A 27,210-nucleotide genomic window follows, 5' to 3' on the forward strand; every position below is an offset into this window, starting at 1 on the left:
GTGGTGGTGCATGCCTGTAATGCCAGCTACTCGGGTGGCTGAGGCTGGAGACTCGCTTCAACCTGGGAGGTGGAAGTTGCAGTGAGCGAAATCACACCACTGCACTCCAGCCTGGGCAACAACAGAGCAAGACTCCATCTCCAAAAAACAAACAAACAAACAAAAAACTTCCAGTCTTGTAATATCCCACGTCCACCCTTTTCTAAGTACAGGATACTCCTGAGATTTAACTTATAATCACATTTTATCTCCTTAAGTCTACCATTATAAACTTTTAAAAAAGGATACCAAAATTAGTGTAACAGGATTTACTCATTTCAGTTACACAATTCCAAACTTTCCCCTGCAGGAAAACCAGTATTTACATTTGTTATATTTTCATCACTAGATGGCTAAGAGGAAATGCTAGTGATTAAAACACAGAAATCTGTTTCATGTAACTTTTTATTAAAAATAGTTTTTATATTGGACACATGTTTACAGATACCATTTTAAGAAGACCTAAGGCATACAAATGTGGGCTTTTGGCTTGCTTCACTGAATGAAGATAAAGATATAAAAACCCAGATCTGCCTGAGGGTAGTCGTTTAAAGACAGCCGCTAACATGGAATTCTCACAATTGTTCTTTTGAGGGATATTTTAAGCCTTGTTCTCTTATCGTCGTAGGTAAGCACTTGTACCATGAAAACCGTAACCTGTACTTCAAGAAAACATTCACATTTCTGCTACAAGAAAAGGTTCTGATGATTTAAATGTTTAAGACTTATGGCAGCTCTTCAGAAAGAAAAAGGAAGTCTTCATAAGATACAGAGATAGGGAGGCTGAGGCGGGTGGATTGTGAGGTCAGGAGTTTAAGACCAGCCTGGCCAAGATGGTGAAACCCCGTCTCTACTGAAAATACAAAAATTAGCCTGGCATGGTGACGGGCACCTGTAATCCCAGCTACTCAGGCTGAGGCAGAGAATTGCTTGAACCCAGGTGGCGGATGTTGCAATAAGCCGAAATCGTGCAACTACACTCCAGCCTGGGCAACAGAGCGAGACTCAAACAAACAAACAAAAAGTAACTAGGAAAGTGTTTTACATGTGGGCTTATTTTAAGAAGAAATTTACTAAAAGCTGAGAGATGGGTCTCGATAAAATTTGATGATTCAAAGAAAGTGGATGGGAACTTTACTGATCTTAGTTTAAAATATCCTGAGTCACCTGCCTTATGAGGTGGAAGGTCTTTCTTTCTTACTATATGTACACCTTTAATTGAAAAGGTGAGAAAAGCTCCATACTGTGATGCTATGATTTCCCCAAGGCTTACCTTCTATAAGTAGTCACTGATAAAGTGCCATTGACCCGCATTTGTTTAGAATTATTTCATTAAAATTGGGGTATGATCTAGCAGTTTATAATAAATATTTATGGATAATTTTATTGGCTTTTAAAAGATACTGTAAAATTGACATATCTCAAAATGGAGTTAATTTATATTTACAACAAACCAAACACAAACATCAATTATGGAATTACAGGGTCACATTTTAATTCCTGAATTTTACAGTTTAGCATTAATATCACCACATGTATACAAATGGTGTAAAACAAGTACAGTGGTATTTTTTAATACAAAATAAACATCTGTTTTATGGAAAAAACTATACTTCATATCTACACAGACAGCTCATCTTTTCCAAACAATAGCCAAAATTAAAATTAACTACAAAATCTCCAAAACAGGGGAAACTGCTTTAGATTAAACGATTCCAGGAAAAATGGACCCGTAACACATTACAAGGGTGATCTAAAGATTGTGGCTGGAATTACTGTTAAAGTTTTTTTTTCCCAATGCATTAAATTGTATTTTGGGGAGATTTTTCTCACTTCGGCATGATCTCAGATCATAGATGAGCAAACTAACATTAAAATATTTACAGTTAACTTGTTGCTCTAAAAATAAAACTTAACTGTTTGCCTCAATTTATTTTTAAAATTCACTTACGTATATGGAATGTGCTTTTACTCTTCTTAAAAAAGCAGCTTTCATATCACACCCTTGTTTACAGAAAAGCTACATGTGCTGCATGCTGACTTTGACACTTAAGTAGCTTCTTGGATCAAAATGGCTTCTAGATACTAAATGCCACTTAATTCAGCACTATTCTTGGTTGGTCTGTATAAGTAACACTTTAAAACTTGCAGCTCTGGAAAGACAGAACTTTACTAACAAAGTAGAAAGTGATTTCAAAGTATCTTCCACAAAAGATTGTACTGGTAGGCGGTTGACAACATTCTGTTCGATCTACTTTCAAATTTCTAGAGAAAATCATTTTGGAATACTACTGTACTGATTCTTGGCCTTCGTTGTCTCTAAAAGTGCTGATTTTAACATTATCTTAAAACTGTCCAGTTTGAATTGAGCTTGTTTTCATCAATATACATATTGAAAATTCCTGGTGTAGAAAACTCAACATGTGCTGAATACGGGGTGTACTTCCCTTCAACTACCTAAAAGGCTGAACTTTTGTTAAATCTTAAAGAAATGGTCCCAACAGCTTAACTTCATTTTTTTAATGATAGTTGAATGTGTTTTCCATAAAAATTTCTTTTAAAAAGAGGCAACTGATTAAAACAACAACATGGCCAGCACCATTATACAAGTAATGTTATTGAGTTTACAACTGAAGTTCTGTAAAATTGTTTCTAGATCGACACCCCGAGGAGCAACCCTGCATTATTATATCAACCTTTTCCCCTCCCCTAAACCGTCCCCAAACCTGTGACTTTTCCTTGCTGAGAAGCTGTCTCCCAGGTTCTGGTTACTAATGTTTGTTTTGACAGCCTAAAAGGCAAACCCCTTAATTACTAGCAAGCAATCAAGTTCCTGGGAAGCCTGATTTTTATTAGAACTAAACTCTCTTAGCTGATATACTGTCTTTTGCTACTCCTTGTATATTTTATAAGTTCAATTGAGAAAGCTTTCTGATTCAGATTTTCAGCTCACTGAACAGTTGCAGCATTGTAAGACCACATGTTGAGGGTCCCCTAATAAATATTTTATGAGCCAAGACGAGGTCTTTTCCTGGGGGACGATTCTTCTTCTTCATCTTCCTCTTCATCATCTGGATAATCCACTAAGCCAACCAAACTTCCCTATTGAAGAATTTAAAAATTTTTTCTTTAAACATATATAACAAAAAAGAGCTTTTAGTACAAATACAATCACTTGTAAAAATATCAGAAATCGTTTTTCTAAATCATATCAGAAATTAACATTTGAATTTGATAAAGGAACTGCTTGAAATTATGAACGTTTGAGTAGTAATTGGTAGCACTTGCAGTAACCCTTAACTTTTCTATCTGGTTCTTGGATTATTAATGATACTTCAAAACTCAATTCTGCAAAATTTTACTGTGGGAAAATGTCTACTTTTCCAAACAGTAGGGATAACAATTAATAACATTTGGAAGCTGGAAAGGACATTGGAGATGAACTGGTTCATTTCTCTAATTTCATTACCACAAGAAAGCCCCTTGTAGTCTTTGTTCATCTTGTGTATATTTCATCACTAAGTACACATTATTTTCATTGTGCTTTTGAAGTACAGCTTAAATGGCTGGAGATAAACACATGAAATGATTCCTATAAAATAATAAGTAAAACATTTAGGGCTAGCTCGCTGACCAAAAGAACAATAAGGATGAGGTAATTCGTGGTCTTGGCCTTTGATGAGTAACAGACCTCTGTGAAAATCCTAGAAAAACTCTGGGTACTCTCCAGAAAATTACACATCCACAGGGTTTCATTCATTTTGAGCCAATCCCATGAAAACTTATGTCCTATAGGTTAAGAGGGCTACTGTAAACACTGTATTTAGTTCAAACCCTTCAGACCTCTAGGAGATAAAACAAATACAACTGAAGTAACTCATACTTCATACCTGAAGTACTGAGGTATCGGGTTTTACCAGAATGTAACCAAATCAGTATAATATTAACCAACCAAAAAAAGGCCTCTGGGCAGCTAGAAACAGTTATCAGAAAGACTTATATACCTGTCTGAGAATCTGTTTCTCAACTTAATCACACACACATCTTAAGTCTGGATATGCAAGAAGCAATATGGCTAAATTGTTAAAAATAGGCTAACTGTAGGTCTGATGTCAAATTCTAATGACACCACGTTTTATGTAAAAAAAAACAAAAACAAAAACAAAACTTTGGGGCTGGGCTTATGCCTGTAATCCCAGCACTTTGGGAGATCGAGGCGGATGGGTCACCTGAGAGATAATGAGTTCAAAACCAGCCTGGCCAACATAGCAAAACCCTATCTCTACCAAAAATACAAAAATTAGCCTGGCGTGATGGCAGGCACCTGTAGTCCCAGCTACTCGGGAGGCTGAGGGACGAGCATCTCTTGAACCCAGGAGGTGGAGATTGCACCACTGCACTCTAGCCTGGGCAACAGAGCAAGACTCCATCTCAAAACAAAAAGAAAAACAAAAAAAAACACAAAACCTTGGGCAAGTGGTTTAATACCTCTGCCTCAGTTTGTCTGTAAAATTGGTATAGTAGTATTTAGGCCTCAGTGAACTATTTTGAAATTTAAATTGATGGCCAGGCGCAGTGGCTCATGCCTGTAATCCTAGCATTTTGGGAGGCCAAGGTAGGTGGATCACCTGAGGTCAGGAGTTGGAGTCCAGCCTGACCAACATGGTGAAACCCCATCTCTACTAAAAATAAAAAAATTAGCCAGGAGTGGTGGCGCATGCCTGTAATCCCAGCTGCTTCAGAGGCTGAGGCAGGAGAATTGCTTGAACCCGGGAGGCAGAGGCTGCAGTGAGCCAAGATTGCACCACTGCACTCCAGCCTGGGCAACAAGAGCAAGACTCCATCTCAAAAATAAATAAATAAATAAATAAATAGATAACCAAACATCTAAAGCACTTCAGCACAGTGCTTCGTATGTAGTTAGTGTTCAATAAGTGCTATTAGCTGCTATTACTACTATCATTTTTCTATTATTTTGTTTCTAAGCCAAACAAATTGGAAGAGAGGAAAAACAAGAAATAATTCTGGTATAAAAAGGCACCAATCTGATAATCAAAAAGATGACAGCAAAGTTACAAAGTTTTAATTATGCTTAGTATTACATATCATAACGTACAAACATTTGTATTCCAAATGGTTAACACTTAATTGTTTCTGCCCAAGATTAATAAATTGTCTGAAAAACTCACTTATACAATTTGAGTTTTACTTATATTATCTCTGCAAACTAACATACATTTAAAACATGTTTACAATAAAAATAATAAAAATGCAAAATATGAAATGTTGGAAGTAAAAAGGCCTGTAATCTAGAGATGCACTTTGTGAAGCTGATTCCATACTTTTAATATGTATCTAGAAATGTACTGTTTTAAAATAGCAGATTGAAATTATATTTACTCTTTTACAATCATGTTCATATAAAAAAAAGCTTTCGATGTCAGTACATAAAGTTCCATTTCATTGTTTTAAACCCTTGCATTCCATGGTATGAATATATATATATTTTTTAAGAGTCTTGCTCTGTCGCCTGAGCTAGAGTACAGTTGTGTGATCTCAGTTCACTGCAACCTCTGTCTCCAGGGTGCAAGCGATTCCTGTGCCTCAGCCACCCAAGTAGCTTGGGCTACATGCATGCACCACCATGCCTGGCTAACTTTTGTATTTTTAGTAGAGATGGGGTTTCACCATGTTGGCCAGGCTGGCCTTGAACTCCTGGCCTCAAGTGATCTGCCCACCTCAGACTCCCAAAGCCGAGCCACCATGCTCGGCTTCATCATATACTTTAATTCCTGAATTTCTGGTTGGACATTTGGGTTGTTTTTGCAGGGTATTTAGGTAAGAAATTTAAAAAGTGAATACCAGCAAAGAAAACAGGAGAAGAGAGAACAGCAGTTTAGAGTTGCCAAGGCATTTTTGGAAAAGAGAAATCAGAGGCAAGGCAAGTCATACAACAGGAAGAAGCCAAGAACTAAGTATTTGCAGAGGGATACAGAAACGAGAAACTGATTTGTCTTAAGAAAACCCCAGAAAGAAGCTAGGCAGTAAAGGCACCAAAATATTGGGGAAAGCAGGGAAAACAGTTTAATTATAGTAAAACAGACAACTGGGTCATTGATTCTACACCTCTGACAGCCAGGAGATTTCTGTTCCTCCACCATCACCAACTACAGAGAATTCTACATAGAAAATGACTCTATAAAGAATAAATTCTATAGAGAATGTAATGAACTTTACAGAGCAAAGGACCATATACTTCATGACTTTAGGCAAAGTAAAGGGCATGGGTAAGGCCAGGCTGAAAATGAAAGAATAAATTTAAATTTTGTATACTGAGCAGACACGCCTACCCCACAATAAGCTTTGCTATGTAGGCACTCAGAACACTAACAACCATTCTTATACTTACAAGGTGTAAGAGACTAGCTTTGTCTGTAAAAATTAGATGGCTTCACAGGAGTATGGGGGGAACTACAAACAACTAACACCTCCCGAAAAAAGCAGGGCACTACTCTCTAAGTCCATACCATAAAGTCAAGTTTTTAAAGTGTATAATTTTCACACACCATAAACTCACCATTTCAGAGCATATAATTCAGTGGTTTTAGTATATTCACAAGTTACGTAATCACCACCAATTCCAGAACATTTCCACCATTTCACCCACCAAAAAAAGTCCCCATAAACAGTCCTCATTCCCCCACCACCCCCCACACCACCCAGCTCTTGGCAACCACTAACCTACTTTGTTTCTGCGGATTTGCTTATTCTGGACAGTTCATATAAATGGAATCATACAATATGTGGTCTTTTGTGACTGGTTTACTTCAATTACCACAATGTTTTCAAAGTTAATCTATGCTTAGCATATCAGGACTTCATTCTTTTTTATGGCCAAATAATATCCACTGTATGAATATGCTACATTTTGTGTATCCATTCATCAGCTGAGAGACATTTGGGTTATTCTTACTTTTTGGCTATTATGAAAAATACTGCTATTAACATTCATATACAAGTTTTACAGTGGACACATGTTTTCAATTTTCTTACAATATATACCTAGGAAATGAGGTAGCTGGGTCATATGGTAACTCTGGGTCATATGGTACTCTGACTTTTTGGGGAACCGCCAGACTGTACTCCAAAGCTGCTACACCATTTTATTTTTATATATTTATTTTTTGAGACATTGTCTTAGAGACTCGAAAGTGCAGTGATGTGATCTCGGCTTATTGCAACCTCTGCCCGCTGGGCTCAAGTGATACTCCCACCTCAGCCTCCCGAATAGCTGGGACCACAGGCATGTGCCACCATGTCCAGCTAATTTTTGTAGACGGGGTTTTGCCATTTTGCCCAGGCTGGTCTCGAGCTCCTGGGCTCAAGCGATGCTCCTGCCTCGGCCTCCCAAAATGCTGGGATTACAGGCATAAGCCTATGCACCAGGCCTGTTGTGCTATTTTATATTCTCACTAGCAATGGGTGTCACAATTTACATTCTTACCAACACTTGTTTTTGTGCATCTTTTTTATTATAGCTATCCTAGAGGATGTGAAATGCTATCATATTGTGATTTTGACTTGCATTTCCCTTACTAATGATGCTAAACATCTTTCCACATGTTTATATGGGCCACTTGTGTATCTTCTTTGCAGAAATGTCTGTTAAAATCCTTTGTCCATTTTAAAACGGGGTTGTCATGCTGAGGTGTAAGAGTTCTTTATATATTCTGGATACCAGTTACTTATCAGATATATCATTTACAAATATTTCCTCCCATTTTGTGGATTGTCTTTTCAATTTATGGTAGTATCCTTTGGAGTACAAAATTTTTGAATTTTGAATGAGTCCAATTTATTATTTTTCTTTTGTCACTTGAGCTATTTGTGTCATATCTAAGAAATCACTGCCTAAATCCAAGGTCATAGATATTTATGCCTTTTTTTAAAAAAGAGTTTTAGACTTTTAACTTTTACATTTGGATCTTTTCATCCATTTTGAGAGGAGTTTTGGATATGATGTGAGATAGGGATCTAACTTCATTCTTCTGCATGTGGATATCCAGTTGTAACATTTATTGAAAAGGGTATTGTGGCCGGGCGCGGTGGCTCACGCCTGTAATCCCAACACTTTGGGAGGCCGAGGCAGGCAGATCACGAGGTCAGGAGATCGAGAACATCCTGGCTAACACAGTGAAATCCCATCTCTACTAAAAATACAAAAAATTAGCCAGGCGTGGTGGTGGGCACCTGTAGTCCCAGCTACTCAGGAGGCTGAGGTAGGAAAATGGTGTGAACCTGGGAGGCGGAGCTTGCAGTGAGCCAAGATTGCGCCACCGCACTCCAGCCTGGGCAACAGAACAAGACTCCGTCTAAAAAAAAAAAAAAAAAAAGAAAGAAAGAAAAAGAGTATTCTTTCCCCCATCAAATTGTCTTGGCACTCTTATTAAAATCTGCCTTATTTTTTTTTATGAAAGGAAATCCTAAGATCACCACTTGAGTAAAGTTTCCAATATGAAAGAAAGGATCAAAATAAATGACAACAATAACCTATGAAAAAGCCCTTTGGGAGGCCGAGGTGGGTGAATCACTTAAGATCAGGAGTTCCTGACGAGCCTGGCCAACATGGTGAAACCCCATCTCTACTGAAAATACAAAAATTAGCCAGGCATGGTGTCGCACACCTGTAATCCTAGAACATTATAATAAATGCACATTCTATACAGAAATACACACGTATATGAAATGATATATGCAAGTGGTCACATATTGCAGCAATGATTTTAACTACAAAAAGCTGCAAACAACTTTAATGCCCATCACATTGATAGGGGCTAATTATAAATTGTTATATCCATACTTTTAAGTTCTATGCAGGAAATCTCTAATGTCCTGATATGAAGAGCTCACCAAGATAAATTTGCTACACAAAGAAGCAAAATAACAGGTTTCTCTACTGTGAATCTGTGACGTGTTTATTTTAGTATCCACAAATGGCTTCTCATTCTGATTTTATATTTTTCCTCATAGAAAATATACGTTTTACAGTTACACAACTAAAGAAGTATTTTGTGTCTTTATGACATTTATATCATAAAAACAAATGTTTTAATTCATTAGTAGCTAATGTCTAGCCAGCCTTCAACTATAGCAATTAACACTGTTAGTGAAACTGGCTAAACCAAAGGGCAATTGGTGATAAAGAATCTGTCACCACTTAGGAATGTGGGCATGGTTTGTTAAGAAGGTTGAGAGCAAATTAAAGTGGTGCTTAACTTCTGTCAACTCCTGTCTTGCTTAATTTCAAAATTCTGTGTCTACAGTGATAGAGCAACTGTTTCCCAAGAACACTGTTTTTATCCCTATCTCTAAAAAGGATGTATAACAGATGTATTCTGTAATCTGCTGTTACTGTCAAGAAGAGTGAAAAAGGTGTTGGTGCTTGCATTTAATTTTGCTCATTCATAAGTAAATTATCTGAAAGGATAATAAAAACTCAGAGAAATATAACAGAAAATATAACAGGAAAACAAAATGAATAGTAGGATATAAAAGTAGGATAGAAAAGGTATGCAGTATTGACATATTATTAGAAATAGAAGACACAGCTAAAAGAGTTCAAAGGTATCTTTGTGGAGGGGAACAGAGGGACTGATTTTTTTCTAATATAAACTTGCCTTTTGGTAATATTTGACTTTTGAAAGTACATGCATGTATTACTTTGATTTAAAAAAAAAAAAAGAAAAAAAAGAAAAGCTAATATATACTGAGAAGGTGTCAAGCAGTGTTCTCAGCATTTTACATTTGTTAAATAATTTAATCTTCCCAACAAGCTTATAAAGTAGGTACTACCTTACCCCTTTTTAAAACAAGAAAGTCGGCCGGGCATGGTGGCTAACACCTGTTAATCCTAACACTGTGGGAAGCTGAGCAGGACTGCTTGAGACCAGCAGTCTGAGACCAGCCTGGGCAACATGGCAAAAACCCATCTCTACCAAAAATAGAAAAATTAGCCAGGCATAGTGGCATGCGCCAGCACTCCCAGCTACTCGGGAGGCTGAGGTGGGAGGATCAGTTGAGCCCAGGAGGTGGCGGAGGCAGTGAGCTGTGATCACACCACTGCACTCCAGGCTGGGTGACAGAGTGAGACTCTGTAACAACAACGACGACGACGACGACGAAGCAGGAAGGCAGGGAGCTTAAGGCCCAGAGAGATTAAATAACTTATACAAGGTGATACAGCTACAAAGAGGCAGAGCCAAGGTTTGAACCCAAACAATACAACCCTATGGCAAATATTCTTTTTTGAGCAGGGTCTCATTCTCTTGTTTAGGCTGGAGTGCAGTGGCAAGATCATGGCTCACTGAAGCCTCCACCTCTCAGGCTCAAACCATTCTCCTGCCTGACTCTTGAGTAGCTGGGACCACAGGTGTGTGCCACCACACCCAGCTAATTTTTTAATACTTTTTGTAGAGATGGGGTCTCACCTTGTTGCCCAGACTGGTCTTGGACTCCTGCGCTCAAGCGATCCTCCTGCCTTGGCCTCCCACAGTGCTAGGATACTGTGCCCAGCCCAAACATTCTTAATGTAGTGTCACAATATTACTCTAAATTGTCCCATCATAAAGTTGAAAACTAATTTTAAAATTTTCCAGTTGAAAAACATAAAATATGTTTCAAATACCGAATACCATGAAAATGCTATTGTCAAGAGCCTATCTCACTATACTACTGAATGAAAATTCTACATTTTTGTAAAATAAACTCAGACTTATATTTTGTGTTCCAAACAAGATGCATTCCTTTAATTAGGTATGTACTACCACGGTGTTTCTGCTTGTCTTTCTACCTTTATACAATAGTTGTCCCCTATTTATGCCTTTTTATTTTAAGCCACTCCTTTTTGGGGAAAAAGGATGATTTCATATAACATATGAACAAGAAAAATGTTTCATATAAAATTTAAACTTGTTTATAAAAAAAGTAACCAAGGGAAATACATTTGTTATAAGAACAACAGAAAGTCTAATATCCTTAACTAAAGATTCATCGACAATAATATAATCCAATTTGCAGAGAAGAGCAGATTCAAAAGGCTAATATTTAGCCTTACTACTAATAGAGTATACACGATTGGAAATGAGATATTATATACTGTCTCCCCTACCTAACTGGCAAATACTAAAAATAATTATAGCACTGGCAAAGCTGCAATTGGCCACGCACACTCATACACAGTTTATGGTAACATAAACTGGCATAGACTTTATGAAGATGAATTTGACCGTATGTGTGAAGACGTTCTACTACTAAACTATCCAAGAAAATAATTTAAAATGCAGTAACACTAAGTAGTCAGTGAAATATTAGAATCAACTTAAGTGCTCCAAAATAGAATGGGGGACAGGGAGGAAGGATGCTTACATTTATTATCATAAGCCTAAATAAAATGAAATTCTCTTTGAGAGGCCGAGGTGGGCGGAACATGAGGTCAAGAGATCGAGACCATCCTGGCCAACATGGTGAAACCTCGTCTCTACTAAAAATACAAAAATTAGCTGGGTGTGGTGGCACGCGCCTGTAGTCCCAGCTACTTGGGAGACTGAGGCAGGAGAACTGCTTGAACCCGGGAGGCGGAGGTTGCAGTGAGCTGAGATCACTCCACTGCACTCCAGCCTGGCGACAGAGTGAGACTCTGTCTCAAAAAATAAAATAAAATAAAATAAAATTCTACAATCAACATTTTGGTAACAGAAAAATTCTAAACAATTCATTGAAATTGTTTTGATTATCCAAATTTTTTTCAGTAAACATGAAAAAATCTCACAGACGGGAAAAGCAAAGTTTGTGTGTAATGCTGTTTCACCTACCTTGGTGGCTGTTACTGACGTAGGCAAGTTTGTGGTTTTGGAAGAGGATCCATTAGAAGTTGCTGGTGGTATCTGAGCCACTACAGATTTACTGTTTGTTCCATTAGCAGCACTGGCAGAGTGGGAGAAAGTAAATTTGAAGCCACCAGGAGATGTCCTTTTGGGAAGGTTTTCCTTGTCTTCACTTTCTTTTGCTAAAGCAAAAGTAAAATTTTGAACGTATATCAATAAATACTGCTAAGTCAAAACATCTAAAAACAGCAGTAATTAAAAAACTTATAAAACATTGCTGCCCGGGCATGGTGGCTCACGCCTGTAATCCCAACACTTTGGGAGGCTGAGGCAGGCAGATCACCCAAGGCCGGAGTTCAAGACCAGCCTGACCAACATGGAGAAACCCCGTCTCTGCTAAAAATACAAAATTAGCCGGGTGTGGTGGCGCATGTCTATAATCTTAGCTACTTGGGAGGCTGAGGCAGGAGAATCACTTGAACCTGGGAGGCAGAGGTTGTGGTGAGCCGAGATCGCACCACTGCACTCCAGCCTGGGCAACAAGAGCGAAACTCCGTCTCAAAAAAAACCAAAAAAACAAAAAAAAATAACACCAAAATTAATTGCCTTTGTTTCCTAAGAACTTTTGAAAAAGAACATGATGTGTACAGTGATGATATGGTCTGGCTCTGTGTCCCCACCCAAATCGCAAATCAAATTGTAATCCCCACATGTCAGGGGAGGGACCTGGTGAGAGGTGACTGGATCATGGGGGTGGATTTCGCCCTTGCTGTTCTTGTGATAGTGAGTTCTCACGAGATCTGGTTGTTCCAAAGGGTGGCACTTCCCCCCTTGCTCTCTCTCTCCTGCTGCCATGTAACACATGCCTTGTTTCCCATTCACCTTCCGCCACAAGTTTCCTGAGGCCTCCCCAGCTATGTGGAATTTTAAGTCAATTATACCTCTTTTCTTCATAAATTACAGTCTCAGGTAGTTCTTTAGAGCAGTGTGAAAACGAACTATACAGAAAATTGGTAACAGGAATGTGGTACTGCTATAAAGATACCTGAAAATGGCAGGGCGCAGTGGCTCACGCCTGTAATCCCAGCACTTTGGGTGGCTGAGGAGGGTGGATCACTTGAGGTCAGGAGTTCAAGATCAGCCTGGCCAACATGATGAAACCTATTCTCTATTAAAAATACAAAAATTAGCTGGGGGTGGTGGTGCACACCTATAATCCCAGCTGCTCTGGTGGCTGAGGCAGGAGAATTGCTTGAACCCTGGAGGCAGAGGATGCAGTGAGCTGAGATTGTGCCACTGCCCACCAGCATGGATGACAGAATAAGACTCCATCTCAAAAAAAAAGATACCTGAAAATGTGGAAGCGACTTTGGAACTGGGTAATAGACAGAGGTTGGAACAATTTGGAGGGCTTAGAAAAAGACAGGAAGATATGGGAAAGTCTGGAACTTCCTAAAGACTTGTTGACTGGTTTTGACCAAAATGCTAACAGTGATATGGACAATGAAGTCCAGGCTGAGGAGGTCTCAGATGGAGGTGAGGAACTTATTCGGAACTGGAGTAAAGGTCATACTTGGTATGCTTTAGCAAAGAGACTGGCGGCATTTTGCCCCTGCCCTAGAGATCTGTGGAACTTGAACTTGAGAGAGATGATTTAGGATATCTGGTGGAAGAAATTTCTAAGCAGCAAAGCATTCAAGTGGTGGCCTGGGCTGGGCACAGTGGCTCATGCCTGTAACACCAGCACTTTGGGAGGCTGAGACAAGCGGATCACGAAGTCAGGAGTTGGAGACCAGCCTGGCCAACAGGGTGAAACCCTGTCTCTACTAAAAATACAAAAATTAGCTGGGCGTGGTGGCACACACCTATAGTCCCAGCTACTTGGGAGGCTGAGGCAGGACAATCAGTTGAACCTGGGAGGCAGAGGTTGCAGTGAGCTGAGATCATGCCACTGCATTCCAGCCTGGGCAACAGAGAGAGACTCCATCTCAGAAAAAAAAAAAAAAAAAAAAAAAAAAAAAAAAAGAGGCCTTCTGGCGGTTTCTAAAAGCGTATGCTCATATGCATGAAGAAAGAGATGGTCTGAAATTAGAATTTATATTTAAAAGGGAGCAGAGCATAAAGTTTGGAAAACTTGCAGCCTGACCATGCAGTAGAAAAGAAAACCCCATTTTCTGGGGAGAAATTCAAGCTGGCTGCAGAAATCTGAATAAGTAACAAGGAGCCAAATGTTAATTCACAGGCCCAGAGGCCTAGGAGGGAAAAATGGTTTTGTGAGCTGGGCCCAGGGCCCTGCTGCTCTGTGCAGTCTTGGGACACCCTGCATCCCAGGTGCTGCAGCTCCAGCCATGGCGAAAAGGAGCCAAGGTACAGCTTGGGCCATGGCTTTAGAGCGTGCAAGCCCCAACTCTTGGTGGCTTCCATGTGACACGGGGCCTGTGGGGTAGAGGCAAGAACTGAGGTTTGGTAACCTCTGATTCTCAAACCACCTAGATTTCAGAAGACATATAGAAATGCCTGGATATCTAGGCAGAAATCTGCTGCAGGGGCAGAGCTCTTATGAAGAACCTCTACTAGGGCAGTGCGGAAGGGAAATGTGAGGTTGGAGCCCCCACATAGAGTCCCCACTGGGATACTGCCTAGTGGAGCCATGAGAAGAGGGCCACCATCCTCCAGACCCCAGAACAGTAGATCTACCAACAGCTTGCACCATGCACCTGGAAAAGCCACAGGCACTCAACTCTAGCCCATGAAAGCAGCCATGGGGGCTGTACCTGGCAAAGCCATAGGGGCGAAGCCAGCCATGGCCCTGGGAGCCTACCTGTTGTATCAGCATGCCCTGGATGTGAAACATGGAGTCAAAGGAGATTATTTTGGAGCTTTAAGATTTAAAGACTGCCCTGCTGGGCTTTGCACTTGCCCAGGGCCTGTAGCCCCTTTGTTTTGGCCAATTTCTTCCATTTGGAATGGGAGCATTTACCCAATGTCTGTACCCCCGTTGTATCTTGGAGGTAACTAACTTGTTTTTTATTTTATAGGATCACAGGCAGAAGGGATTTACTTTGTCTCATATGAGACTTTGGACTTGGACTTTTGAGTTAATGCTGGAATGAGTTATGGGGGACTGTTGGGAAGGCATGATTGGTTTTGAAATGTAAAAAGGACATGAAATTAGGGAGGGACCGGGGTGGAATGATATGGTTTGGCTCTTGTCCCCACCCAAATCTCATTGTGAATTGTAATCCCCAGGTGTTGGAGGAGATGACTGAATCATGGAGGCAGAAAACCCCCTTGCTATTTTTGTGATAGTGAGTTCTCACGAGATCTGGTTGTTTCAAAGTGTGTGGCACCTCGGCCGGGCTTGGTGGCTCATGCCTGTAATCCCAGCACTTTGGGAGGCCAAAGTGGGTGAATCATCTGAGACCAGGAGTTCAAGACCAGCCTGGCCAACATGGTGAAACCCCATCTCTATTAAAAATATAAAAATTAGCTGGGTGTGGTGGTACATGCCTGTAATCCCAACTACTTGAGAGGCTGAGGCAGGAGAATTGCTTGAGCCCAGGAGGCAGAGGTTGCAGTGAGCCGAGATCACGCCACTGCACTCCAGCCTGGGCAATGAGAAGGAGACTCCATCTCAAAAAGCAAACAAACAAACAAAAGTGCATGGCACCTCCTCCTTCACACTCTCTGTCTCCCGCTCCACCATGGTTAAGATATGCTTGCTTTCCTTTCGCCTTCGACCATGACTGTAAGGTTCTCGAAGCCTTTCAGCCATGTTTCCTGTTAAGCCTACAGAACTGTGAGTTAATCAAACCTCTTTTCTTCATAAACTACCCAGTCTTAGGTAGTTCTTTTTAACAGTATAAAACGAACTAATACAAGTGGTAAGTCTTTATTAGCTAGAATCTTAGAAATCTCAGTATTAGAAAGGACCTTACGGATCATAACAAAATTAGCCATTCTATGCTAGAACTCTACATTGTGGTATCTAGCACATACATCTAAAATCTCATTAGCTGTCTGACTCTTCCTTTTATTGTCTCCCTGTAGCTTCCACTCACTGACTCTACACTTCTTTACTCATGGTAAAAACCTAGTAATTTCTCTCACAAGTCAATATTCCAAATGCCTAAAGACAATGATCAAGTCCGTAAGTCCTAAATATTCCAGGTTCCTTTTTCTGTTTGTGTTATGACATAGGTGTCCAATCCCTTTTAACATCTGGTTATTATTTTTATATATGATTCTTAACAGCATCTCACTCAACACTGGATACAGAACTTCAAATATGGCTGTACTGCCTCTTTTGACAATAGTCAGGGCAGTACCTGTAATGAGTAAAGGCAGAAGAATTTGTCTAGCAAAGGTACCGATTTCTTAGGATATTTTAATAAGCTTTTTGCTCCGCCACGCTGAGGCAAATAAAACTTATCAAACTAATGAGTTGAAAATGAGTACGAACAATAGTTTCAAAGAAAATGTAATAAATGAAATTAATTTTCTGAGAATTGTCTTTAGAAAATGTCACATTCAAAATCACAAACTTACATAATAAATCCAAGAAAGGCTTTTATCTTCTAAGACATAAATTTTTTCTTTTGTTTTTGAGATAAGGTCTTTCTCTGTTATTAAGCTGGAGTGCAGCGGCAGCTCATGGCTCACTGCAGCTTCGACCTCCTGGGCTCAAGTGATCCTCCAGCCTCAGCCTTCCTAGTAGCTGGGACTCCAGGTAAGTGCCACTGTGCCCATTTAATTTTTGTGTTTTTTTGTAGAGACAGGGTTTTACCATGTTACCCAGGGTGGTTTGGAACTCCTGGGCTCAAATGATCCACCTGCCTCAGTCTCCCAAAGTGCTGGGATTACAGACGTGAGCCGCCATGCCCAGCAAGGTATAAATTTTAATTAAATATTTAAATGATATACTCAGGGCAGTATTCCAAAAAATGGTAATTCCTCAGGCCACAGAAGTAAAATGGTTAGTTCTTTTGAAAGATATATTACTAGCAAGATCTTCATTTTATAAAACAAGTTAAGCACATCTGAAAGCCAGGGGAAGTTTTACTTTTTCACTTCTCTTGTTAGTATATCTTTATGTAACTTTTGTAATTTTAAAATTTCAAAGAGCAAAGTTACTTGTTTGAGCTCAGTTTATCAGCTGTAAAAGACACAGGCAAAGTACTCTAGAAGGTTTCTATGAAGCTATATGGTCTCTGTTATTACTGAGAATTTCAGTATAGAAATAAAGCCAAGACTATTCACAGAAAGAAAAGTATAAGTAGATAATTCAATTTCTAACTAGCAAATTAACAGCATTACAAAATAGCAAGTTTGAAGAGAAACATTTTAAACATGAAAAGAATTCCCAGACAGATTTGGAAAAAGTACATAATTTTAAAAGAACACAGTTTGGTATAAAATTTTTGTCTTTCTTGCTTTGTAAACTATAAACAAACCTTCACAAAGCAACAAAATAATTTCTGCACTAAATAAGAGGGTACACTGTGCAAAAATTCCGAATTTTAATACCTTTTTTAGTCTCCATAAACTTTTCATAATTATCTGGAAAATCATCTTCTGGCTTAGGTTTTTCCACTGGTGCCACAACTGCTTTTCCTTCCTCTTCTTCATCTTCATTAAACCACATTTCTTCATCCTCTTCCAAGGCTTTTGCATCTCTGCGAAATCTGTTACTACGCAATATAGATGGTACACTGTAAGAAATATATCACAAATATTGAGTAATGATTTAAAGTTCATCATCAGATTGAACTGAAGGAAAAATATGTATAACCAAGATGAACTGAAGTAATTTTAACTGACTATAATTTATATCAAAATAATCTCTGTAATGATAGAAGATGTAGCCAGAGAACACTCCAAAATATTTTAGGATGTTGTAAATTAAACTAAATATTCTTCGTAAGTTACAACATGGAGTAGTAATTCAACATATAAATGATATGGGGTAGGGGGGACGCCTTACCCTCCTATTCAACTCTATGCTATCCAGTGATGGAAAGAAAATTCCTCAGTAAATTTCACATGGAAAATCTGAACTACAAACAATTTTGGACACAGTTTTGTAGGCTATAAAAGCAGTATACTTAAACAATACCTGTTCAGTTTCTGATTTTGTCTGTCTTTTTCTTGCTCATATTTAGTCTTCAATCCTTTGAATGTCTGAACATATTCAATCGATTCAAGTGCTTTATAAAAGTTTTCAACTATATGGGCAGTAAGAGACTTGATATCTTCCTGTATAAGCACAAAATTTACATTTAAAATATAATACAATGCTTGTTAGAAGAAAAACTTTAAAATTTTGTTTTGTAGTTCTAAAGCTGATCAAAAAAGGTTTTTCAAAATCACCTTCCAAAATGTAATGTCCTGGTTTCTTTACACATGAGTCAGGACTGCACAGAAAACTTGAAAAAAAAGGAGAAGCAATTTACTGGAGTCCTTTTATAGGACTATAAAGAGCATTCGAAAAGTAAATAGATTTATTTTACATCTTCTATTTTTTGTATATATATATATATATATAGCAGTTTACAATTTAAAAAGCACTTTTACATAAAATTTCATTTGATCTTCACAACAATTCTATGAGATAGGTTTTATTATTCCCATTTTAGAGAAAAACCAAAATTGAGGCTCTAAGAGAGGCTGGATGGTTTGATCCAGAGCACACGGCTGGTTAGAGGGCAGATGTTAAAATTACATTTTCAAAATACTCACGGTGATGGATACCCCAAATACCCGGACTTGATCATTACACATTCTATGCATGTAAAAAATAAATACATGTACCAAATACATCTGTATAATATTATGTATTAATAAAAGAAAAACATATTTTTCAACAAACAGGTCTTATTTAATGACTTCCTGTTTAACTGCTATCAAAATGGGATATGGTTGTGGTGGTTTTCTTTCTGGTACATTTGTTAAGTTTTCAAATGAGCCTAACTCTGCCACATATATCATATAGGAGCTGGCAAAGGCTTGATGACAAAGAGATCTCTCTCAAGCCTTTCCCACATCAGAGGCTGGCTTTCACACACACAGAAGAAGAAAAAACAACAGAGGACACGTGTTACCTAAATAATAAGAAGCAAAGACTTCTCTGACTATATTATACACACAGATCTGATAAACTATCTGGAATTCTACTTGTCTATTCCTATAGTCTTCCAATAGTATAATATCTGTGAAATAAACTAATTGATAGTAATAACTTCTAAATTCTAAACCATCACTGCAAATGCATGCATGCCCAGTAGGCTTATTTTAAAAAAAAAAATTAAAGTTGTGATTGAGGACTTTACAGATAACACTACATAGTAAGAAACACACAGGTCATTTCTTGAAAAGATACACCATAATTTGGTTGCATTATGGATTTTAAGTCTTAAAACTAGTTCTCCTGTACTTCTCAATTGAAAAAAAATACGCAAATCAGAAATTAGAAACCTAGGTAATGGCTCTATGTTATATGTGAAACGAAAAAATACATTAAGTTTTGGGGCACAAGGTACACAAATCGACCACTCGAACTTATTTTCACAAAAACAATTCCATCATGGGCATAGGGACAGGGTTGTAAACTCTACCATTTGCTTTATCTGTATCTCACCAAAATTTTAAAGGAGAATAATATAAAGTAAATAAAATATAAAGCTTTGATTTATTGCAGCAGTACAATGGGAACTAGTGAGCTAGTTAACCATGTTCCTTCTTTTACCAGGTTAAAGACTTCTATCCTCTTCATCCTTTTAAAAATCATATACTTGGCAATTGACCACTTTTAGAAAAACAATCCAGTCAGCCAAATAATCTTCATATGAGAATAGCATGTTATCAGCAAAAATCTGACTTGTAAGAAATAAAACTAGATAATGAATTTCTAGCTTGGACTTTGATTTTTCAAATTATTTCCAGCCAGGTGCAGTGGCTCACACCTGTAATCCAACACTTTGGGAGGCTGAGGTGGGAGAACTGGTTGAGCCTAGGCGTTTGAGACCAGCCTGGGCAACAAAGGGAGACCCCATACATAAAAAAAAATTACCATTAGCCAGGCACTTTAGTGCATGCCTGTAGTTCCAATTACTCAGGAGGCTGACGTGGGAGGATCTGCTTGAGCCCAGGAGGTCGAGGCTGCAGTGAACTGTGATTACATTATTGTACTCCAGCTTGGGCAACAGCATGAGACCTTGTCTCAAACAAAACAAAACAAAAAATAAAACCCAAATTCTTTCCAACTATGTGGCCATTTCCTCAGTGGAATGATTTCGGTGTGTTTAAGTACAGGTGAAGTAAATTTGTTGTACTGGTTCTACAGTTATCTGTTGCATTCCTGTTATTCACATAGACTGCCCTCCAGATTGTTTATGACAAATCTTCTGTTGCCTAAAACTAAGCTGGGACAAAGCTTCAAGTTCTGACTGGTCCTGATTGTGCTACTATCCAAAAGGATGTTCTTGAATAGGTCACTTAATAACTTTGGGTGTCTTAATTTCCTGATCTATAAAATACGGTAATTGGAGTAGTCCATCTAACTTCCTGATCTCTTTAACTTAAAATTCTAGGATTCCATCCTACCTTTTATGCATGTTGTATTAATGTCTACCAAATGATTTTTTTTTTTGAGACAAGAGTCTTGCTCTGTCACCCAGGCTGGAATGAAGTGATGCAATCTTGGCTCACTGCAACCCCACCTCCTGGATGCAAGTGGTTCTTGTGCCTCAGCTTCCCAAGTGGCTGGGACTACAGGCGTGTGCCATCACACTCAGCTAATTTCTGTATTTTTAGTAGAGATGGGGTTTCATCATGTTGGCCAGGCTGGTCACGAACTCCTGACCTTAAGTGATCAGCCTGCCCAGGTCTCCCAAAGTGCTGGGATTACAGACGTAAGCCACCACGCCCAACCCCAAGTGAATTATTTTTCCATCTTTCTATTCTTTTTAAATCATTACCTCTACAATAAAAATATCACCTTTTCCTAAAAGATCACGTGAATAAGGCATGATTGACTGAAATGTCCACATACACCAAATGAGATCATGAAACATTTGGCCAATAAAAATGGAACTGAGAAAATCAAGTAAATATGGGCTGAAAGACTATGCTGAATTTCACTTTTATATTTCACAATTAAAAATATTAGCGTTAAAAAATATCAGTGTCAAAAGTAAAAACCACTAAACTATAACCATGTGGCAAATAAGAATTAAAAAGCTACTGATTTTTAAAATTTCTGTTTATTAGAATAGATTCTAAGACACATGGAATATATAATTTCAGGGGTGAAAAGGGAATGAAGTCACTTTGCTTACATGTAATTCTTTTACATAAAAAATTATTTACATATAATTACATATAATAACAGCTGTTTTATATAAACTTACCACTCTTATAAATTCAAACAACTCAATAACAGCTGAATTCAACAGATTATACCGAGTTCCATTATCCAGAAGTGCATTTATAACTGGCTCAAAAAGATTTCCCTTGGTGATGTAACGATTATAAAATTCATCTTTAAGTCCAATTATCCGCCTCATAAAGCGAAGGGCACCTAATTAAAAATAATATAGGGAATAAGTTAATGATCTTACTAAAATCAATTATTATACAGGTGTTTTTCCACCATAAAGCAATGTATATGCTCTTCTAAAATGAAAAGTAAAACTGTGTATAAAGTAAAAAGTAAACTCCTCTAAAATGAAAAGTAAAACTGTCTGGTAAAACTGGACTTTGAGGAAAATAGAGCTGCAGAGGATCGCTCAAAACCTGTACAACTTTGTAGCCAGAACTAACAACAACAACAACAACAAAAACAGTAATTGGAATCTAGGAGATAAACTACCCAGGCAGGTAGCTCTGTGACAGAGATTTAAAAATATGCAAAATCCATAGACTGCAAATGCTAGCAGTATTTACAGCAGTGCTGGTGGATGCTGAGACAACGCAGTGAAGGCAGCTCAGAATCAGTGGGGGCACTGTCATTAAGGTGGGCACAGGAGTGGGCAACCCACCATGAGCTAAGATTGCCTTGCCTCTCTGAGGGAGGGAGCTTTAGAGGCAAAAGCTTGTTTTCAGTTTTCTGAAAATACAGCTAAAGTGTGGGCAGCAAGCCACCCAGGTGCCGAGGCAAGAGACTGAGGGCACGAGCTGTTCTAGTATAATAAAATATATAAAATAAGAATAGTTATACTAGATATAGATCTTAGATATGATTATATATGAATATCATTAATCATTAGTTTGCAGTAATTATTCTTTATTCCAATATTATAATAATCCTCGCTCTACAATCATAACCTAGGAAAAACCAGGCCATGCAGAGATAGGAGCTGAGGGTACATACTGAGAAGTGACCAAAAGACCGGACAGGGCCACCAGAGGGCTCCTTGGTCTAGCGGTAACACCAGCGTCTGGGAAGATGCCCGTTGCCAAGCAGACCATGGTCTAGCGGTAGCGTTAGTGTCAAGGAAAAACACCTGCTACTTAGCAGACCGGGAAAGGGAGTCACCCTTTCCCTGGGGGAGTTTAGAGAAGACTCTACTCCTCCACCTCTTGTGAAGGGCCTGACATTAGTCAGGCCCACCTGCAGTTATCCAGAGGCCTAATTGTTTCCCTGTGATGCTGTGCTTCAGGGGTCACGCTCCTAGTCCACCTTTATGTTCCATCCTGTACACCTGGCTCTGCCTTCTAGAAAGCAGTAGCAAATTAGTGAAAGTACTAAAAGTCTATGATAAGCAGAAATAATGGTGTAAGCTATCTCTCTCTCTTTCTCCTCTCTCTGCCTCGGCTGCCAGGCAGGGAGGAGCCCCCTGTCCAGTGGACACGTGACCCATGTGGCCTTACCTATCAATGGAGATGGTTCACACTCCTTATTCTGCCCCTTTGTCTTGTATCCAATAAACATCAGCGCAGCCTGGCATTCGGGGCCACTACCGGTCTCCGCGTCTTGGTGGTAGTGGTCCCCCGGGCCCAGCTGTCTTTTCTTTTATCTCTTTGTCTTGTGTCTTTATTTCTACAATCTCTCATCTCTGCACACGGGGAGAAAAACCCACCGACCCTGTGGGGCTGGTCCCTACACTAAAGAGGCTCCTGATGCCAGATGCCAATCACATAAAGGAGATCTAAAGGTTTTTTACTTCTCTGATGAAGACTATTTCCACTCACACTATTCTACTTCTCCTTGCCTTGAAAAAAACATTTGTGCTGAGGCAGGCAGATCACGAGATCAGGAGATCGAGACAAGCCTGGCCAACATGGTGAAACCCCGTCTTTACTAAAATACAAAAAATTAGCCAGGTGTGCTGGCAGGCGCCTGTAGTCCCAGCTACTCGGGAGGCTGCGGCAGGAGAATCACTTGAACCCTGGAGGTGGAGGTTGCAGTGAGCTGAGATCGTGCCACTACACCCCAGCATGGGTGACAGAGTGAGACTATGTCTCAAAAAACAAACAATTTGTGAACCAATCCTATCTCCGTATTATAATTACATCATTCTCTTATGTACCAATTGCTTACAAGCTATTTTACCTGGCTAAATATGCACTGTGGCAGATCAGAATGTATTTGTTAAAAGTAAAACAGAGTAATGAATAAGAAGTACAACTTGACTTCACATTTTAGGACACTGAAAAGAAATCTCCTTTTTAACTCGTGACTAGCTAAATAAAGCTTACTAAATTTAGCAATATTACTGCTAAAAATCTTATGGAACAGGAAGGACTATAATTTCAATCCTTTATTTTTATATGTTGATCCTTTAACTTGTATCCTTTCCCCTAAGTAGTTTATTCTACAGATACCACTAGTCAAATCTTCAAAACACAAGGCTTCTGATTTTATAAGTCATTTTCTCATTCCAACCCTCTGTTCATAGATGAAACTCATTAAACAAAGAACTTGTGCCTGTCACAAGAGGTTCTAAACATTATCTGAGAATAAAACAGAAATAGGCCACATAAGGTATAAATGTTAACTGTAACACCAAACAAGTATGGGGAGACGTGTTAGACTTACAATCTTCCCTCTTTTTGTGGCAGGATAAGAAATGGTTTACTTAAGATGCAAAAGACTGAAGCACTGGCAAGTTTGTGAGCAAAGAGGCACAATTCTACACTGCTGGTAAATGAACTGACATGTACACAAAACTACAGTTACAACAGCACTGCTTATAATAATAGAAATCTTGAAACAATATAAACATTTAAATATTGGAAATTGTGGCTGGGTGCAGCGGTTCACACCTGTAATCTCAGCCCTTTGGGAGGCTGAGGAGGGTGGATCATGAGGTCAGGAGTTTGAGACCAGCCTGGCCAACATGGTGAAACCCCATCTCTACTAAAAATACAAAAAATTAGCCAGGTGTGGTGGCAGGCACTTGTAATCCCAGCTACTCGAAAGGCTGAGGCAGGAGAATCACTTGAAACCGGGAAGCAGAAGCTGCAGTGAGCTGAGACTGTGCCACTACACTCCAGCCTGGGCAACAGAGCAAGACTCTGTCTCAAAAAAAAAAATGGAAATGCATTCAATTGACATGTTCCTATTAAGGGAAGTATTCTGCAGTCATCGAAAAGTACTATTTAATGAGCCAAATAGGAAAATCTGTCTTAAGAACATCAAACATTCCAAAATTAATATAAAAATATAATGTAATTCCAATCAAAATGAACTGGATACAACCAGTTATCATGAAAGAAAAAAATGTCTAAGAACAACCAAGAAAAGTATGAAAAACAAAAGTGAAGGGGTCTCAGTAGGTATTAAACCTTACAAGAGACACTATAATGCCTGGCATAATATAATAAACACAGGTTTTTTGTTTGTTTGTTTGTTTCTTGAGACAGAGTCTTGCTCTGTTGCCCAGGCTAGAGTGCAGTGTTGCGATTTCAGCTCACTGCAACCCCCGTCTCCCGGGTTCAAGTGATTCTCCTGCCTCAGCTTCCTGAGTAGCTGGGATTACAGACATACACCACCATGCCTGGCTAATTTTTGTAGTTTTAGTAGAGACAGTTATATTGCCCAGGCTGCTCTCGAACTCCTGACCTCAGGTGATCCACCCGCCTTGGCCTCCCAAAGTGCTGGGATTTACAGGCGTGAGCCACTGCGCCTGGCCAACACTGGTACTTTTACATTTGGTGAAATTAAATGACTGTCCAGAAATAAAACAAAAGTATATATATGTTAACTTATTTAACAAAAATGGTATTTCAATTCAGAAGGAAAGAGGAAAGGTATGGTTGCCTTAATAAAGGTGCTGATACTGTTGGCTATGTATCTAGGAAACACTCATTTCAAACACTCTCATTTCAAAGTATATGTGCAAAAACAAATTTCACATGTGTTACATACATAAATGTAAAAAAGGAAATAAAGATATTAGAAGAAAGTGAGAATATCTGCATAATCTTAGGACATAAGACTTTCCTAAGCAAAACAAAAAACCCAAAAGTCATAAAAGGAAAAGAAAGACATTTTTGCCATCATAAGGAAATTTTAAAGTTATCTGGAAAACAATACTACAAATAAAGGCAAAGACAAAAGACAATGAAGATGGACATTTTCTCCTCAAAACATGATAAATTGTTAATATCTCTAATATACAAAAAGCTCTAAGAAAAAGATAACTGGCAATTCACAACAGATAAAAATGCAAAGTACACTAATATATGAAAAGATGCTGTCAGGGAAAATGCAAATTAGAATAACAATGAGATACCACATTTTTCAGTATCAGATTGATAACATTTTAAAATTAGTAACACTGAATGCTGGGACAATGTCAAAGTGCTTCAATTTTGGCGGAAGTAATCTGGCAGCTATATGGTAAATTAAAACTTAGAGATACATTAAAAAGTATAAAACAGATAAATATTTTCTCTTACCAATCCCATTATTGAGAATCTATCCTATAGAAAGAAATAAATCAGTACTTAAAAGATTTATGTACTAGACTATTTACCACAGTGAGATGTGGAGTGGCAAGAAAGCAAAAACAATCCTGTAATTTATCCACTGGAGAATGGCAGAAGAATCTGTGGAAGAGCCATACTATAAAATCTTACTCAGCTATCTCCAGGAATAAAATTAGTCTATACAATATTGATTAATCTAGAGTAGTATTAGTGGGCTGAGAAATGTGTTGGTATGATACTGTTTTGTAAATATAAAAAACACAAAAAAATCCTCTATACATGTGTGAATATGTTTATTACATAAATTGGTACAGGTATGAAAAAAAGAAATAATGCAGACAGTTAACACTGGCTATTTTAAGTCCATAAAAATAAAGATTAGGGAGATTAACATTTTCTCTATACATTAAATTAAATGTCTATATTTAAAATATAATTTTTATGGTCAGAATAAAACCACAAAGTACTTTTCATTTGGAGGGAGGATGTTTCTTTCTCTGCTTGCAGGTGAAATTATGAAGGTGACAGTTTATAGTCTGCTAAAAATCAACATTGATGCAAATATCAGGATAATTATAAAGAGTGACTGACTACTAAATGACAGTTTGATGAAGTAGATGTAAAAAAACAGCAGGACTGGTTCTGTTAGTAAAATGCTGTCACTGCACATGGTAATGTATCACAACAAAAGTTAGGCTCATTAAATCTAAATGTGAGCAATATGTGGGTGGGAAAATCACTACAACCTAGTCCTCTTGCCCTTTAAATAAGAACAAAAGAATAGGACTTCTCACAATCATCTCATTCATAGAATATACACTGCTAATAAATAACTTCAAATGGGTAACTTCAGTTTTATCTCTATTAAAAATGTTGCTCCTTAAAACATTTTATACTTACACAAGGCCAGAAAAGTGTGCTTTGAATTCATCAAGACCAAGACTCTTCTTAGCAAGTCCTTGTTCATAATATAGTTTTTTATGTGATATGTGTGATGTTCCACACAAAATGTGAGTAACTCTAAAATTAAGGCAAGTAGCTGTGCTGTTTGATAATTATCTACAAAAGAAAGTAATCTCATGAAAATAAATATTGAATATATCTAAATAAAGAATAAATAAAGCTTACATCCTATATGTTATAACAAAATCTAAACTGTATTTCCTCCTTTTTTTTTTTTTTTTTTTTGAGACAAAGTCTCACTCTGTCACCCAGTTTGGAGTGTGGTGGTGTGATCATGGCACATTGCAGCTTCCACCTCCCAGGCTCAACTGATCCTCCCACCTCAGCTGCCAGAGTAGCTGGAACTACAGATGTACGCCACCATGCTAGCTAATTTTTTTTTTCAAGTTTTTGT

General features: G+C 38.3%; 1 protein-coding gene and 1 non-coding gene across 20 annotated transcripts in view, besides 1 other annotated feature; one reads left to right on the forward strand and one right to left on the reverse strand.

The window, feature by feature from the left end:
• Positions 1-426: 426 nt before the first annotated feature.
• The window catches only part of PPP4R3B (protein phosphatase 4 regulatory subunit 3B), a 70,331-nt gene continuing 43,547 nt past the window's right edge, over positions 427-27,210 (reverse strand). For 5 of the 19 annotated variants that reach the window (XM_017004534.3, XM_017004532.3, XM_017004531.3 and 2 more), the window contains 6 exons: positions 26,754-26,912; positions 21,329-21,498; positions 18,037-18,176; positions 17,448-17,611; positions 11,910-12,103; positions 427-3,141 (listed from right to left, as the gene is read on the reverse strand). In XM_017004534.3, coding sequence (XP_016860023.1) covers positions 3,046-3,141; positions 11,910-12,103; positions 17,448-17,611; positions 18,037-18,176; positions 21,329-21,498; positions 26,754-26,912 — 923 coding nt within the window. In that variant the 3' untranslated portion in view covers positions 427-3,045. Of the gene's footprint in view, positions 3,142-11,909; positions 12,104-17,447; positions 17,633-18,036; positions 18,177-18,290; positions 18,347-21,328; positions 21,499-26,753; positions 26,913-27,210 lie in introns of those variants that run through there. The other 14 variants (XM_017004533.3, XM_005264447.4, NM_001282850.2 and 11 more) reach the window with 4 other exon arrangements.
• On the forward strand, positions 18,838-18,985 carry LOC124900537 (small nucleolar RNA SNORA12). The gene has a single exon (XR_007088728.1). It is a non-coding gene; the product is annotated as a small nucleolar RNA SNORA12 (small nucleolar RNA).
• Positions 20,159-20,659: an enhancer, noted in NCBI's record as "H3K27ac hESC enhancer chr2:55794160-55794660 (GRCh37/hg19 assembly coordinates)". NCBI's record gives its function as "activates a minimal SCP1, AML or CMV promoter by ChIP-STARR-seq in primed H9 embryonic stem cells {active_cell/tissue: H9 hESC(primed)}" and the evidence as "EXISTENCE:reporter gene assay evidence [ECO:0000049][PMID:30033119]".

The sequence above is a fragment of the Homo sapiens genome, chromosome 2 (genome assembly GCF_000001405.40).
Source record: "Homo sapiens chromosome 2, GRCh38.p14 Primary Assembly".
NCBI classification, from domain to species: Eukaryota; Metazoa; Chordata; class Mammalia; order Primates; family Hominidae; genus Homo; species Homo sapiens.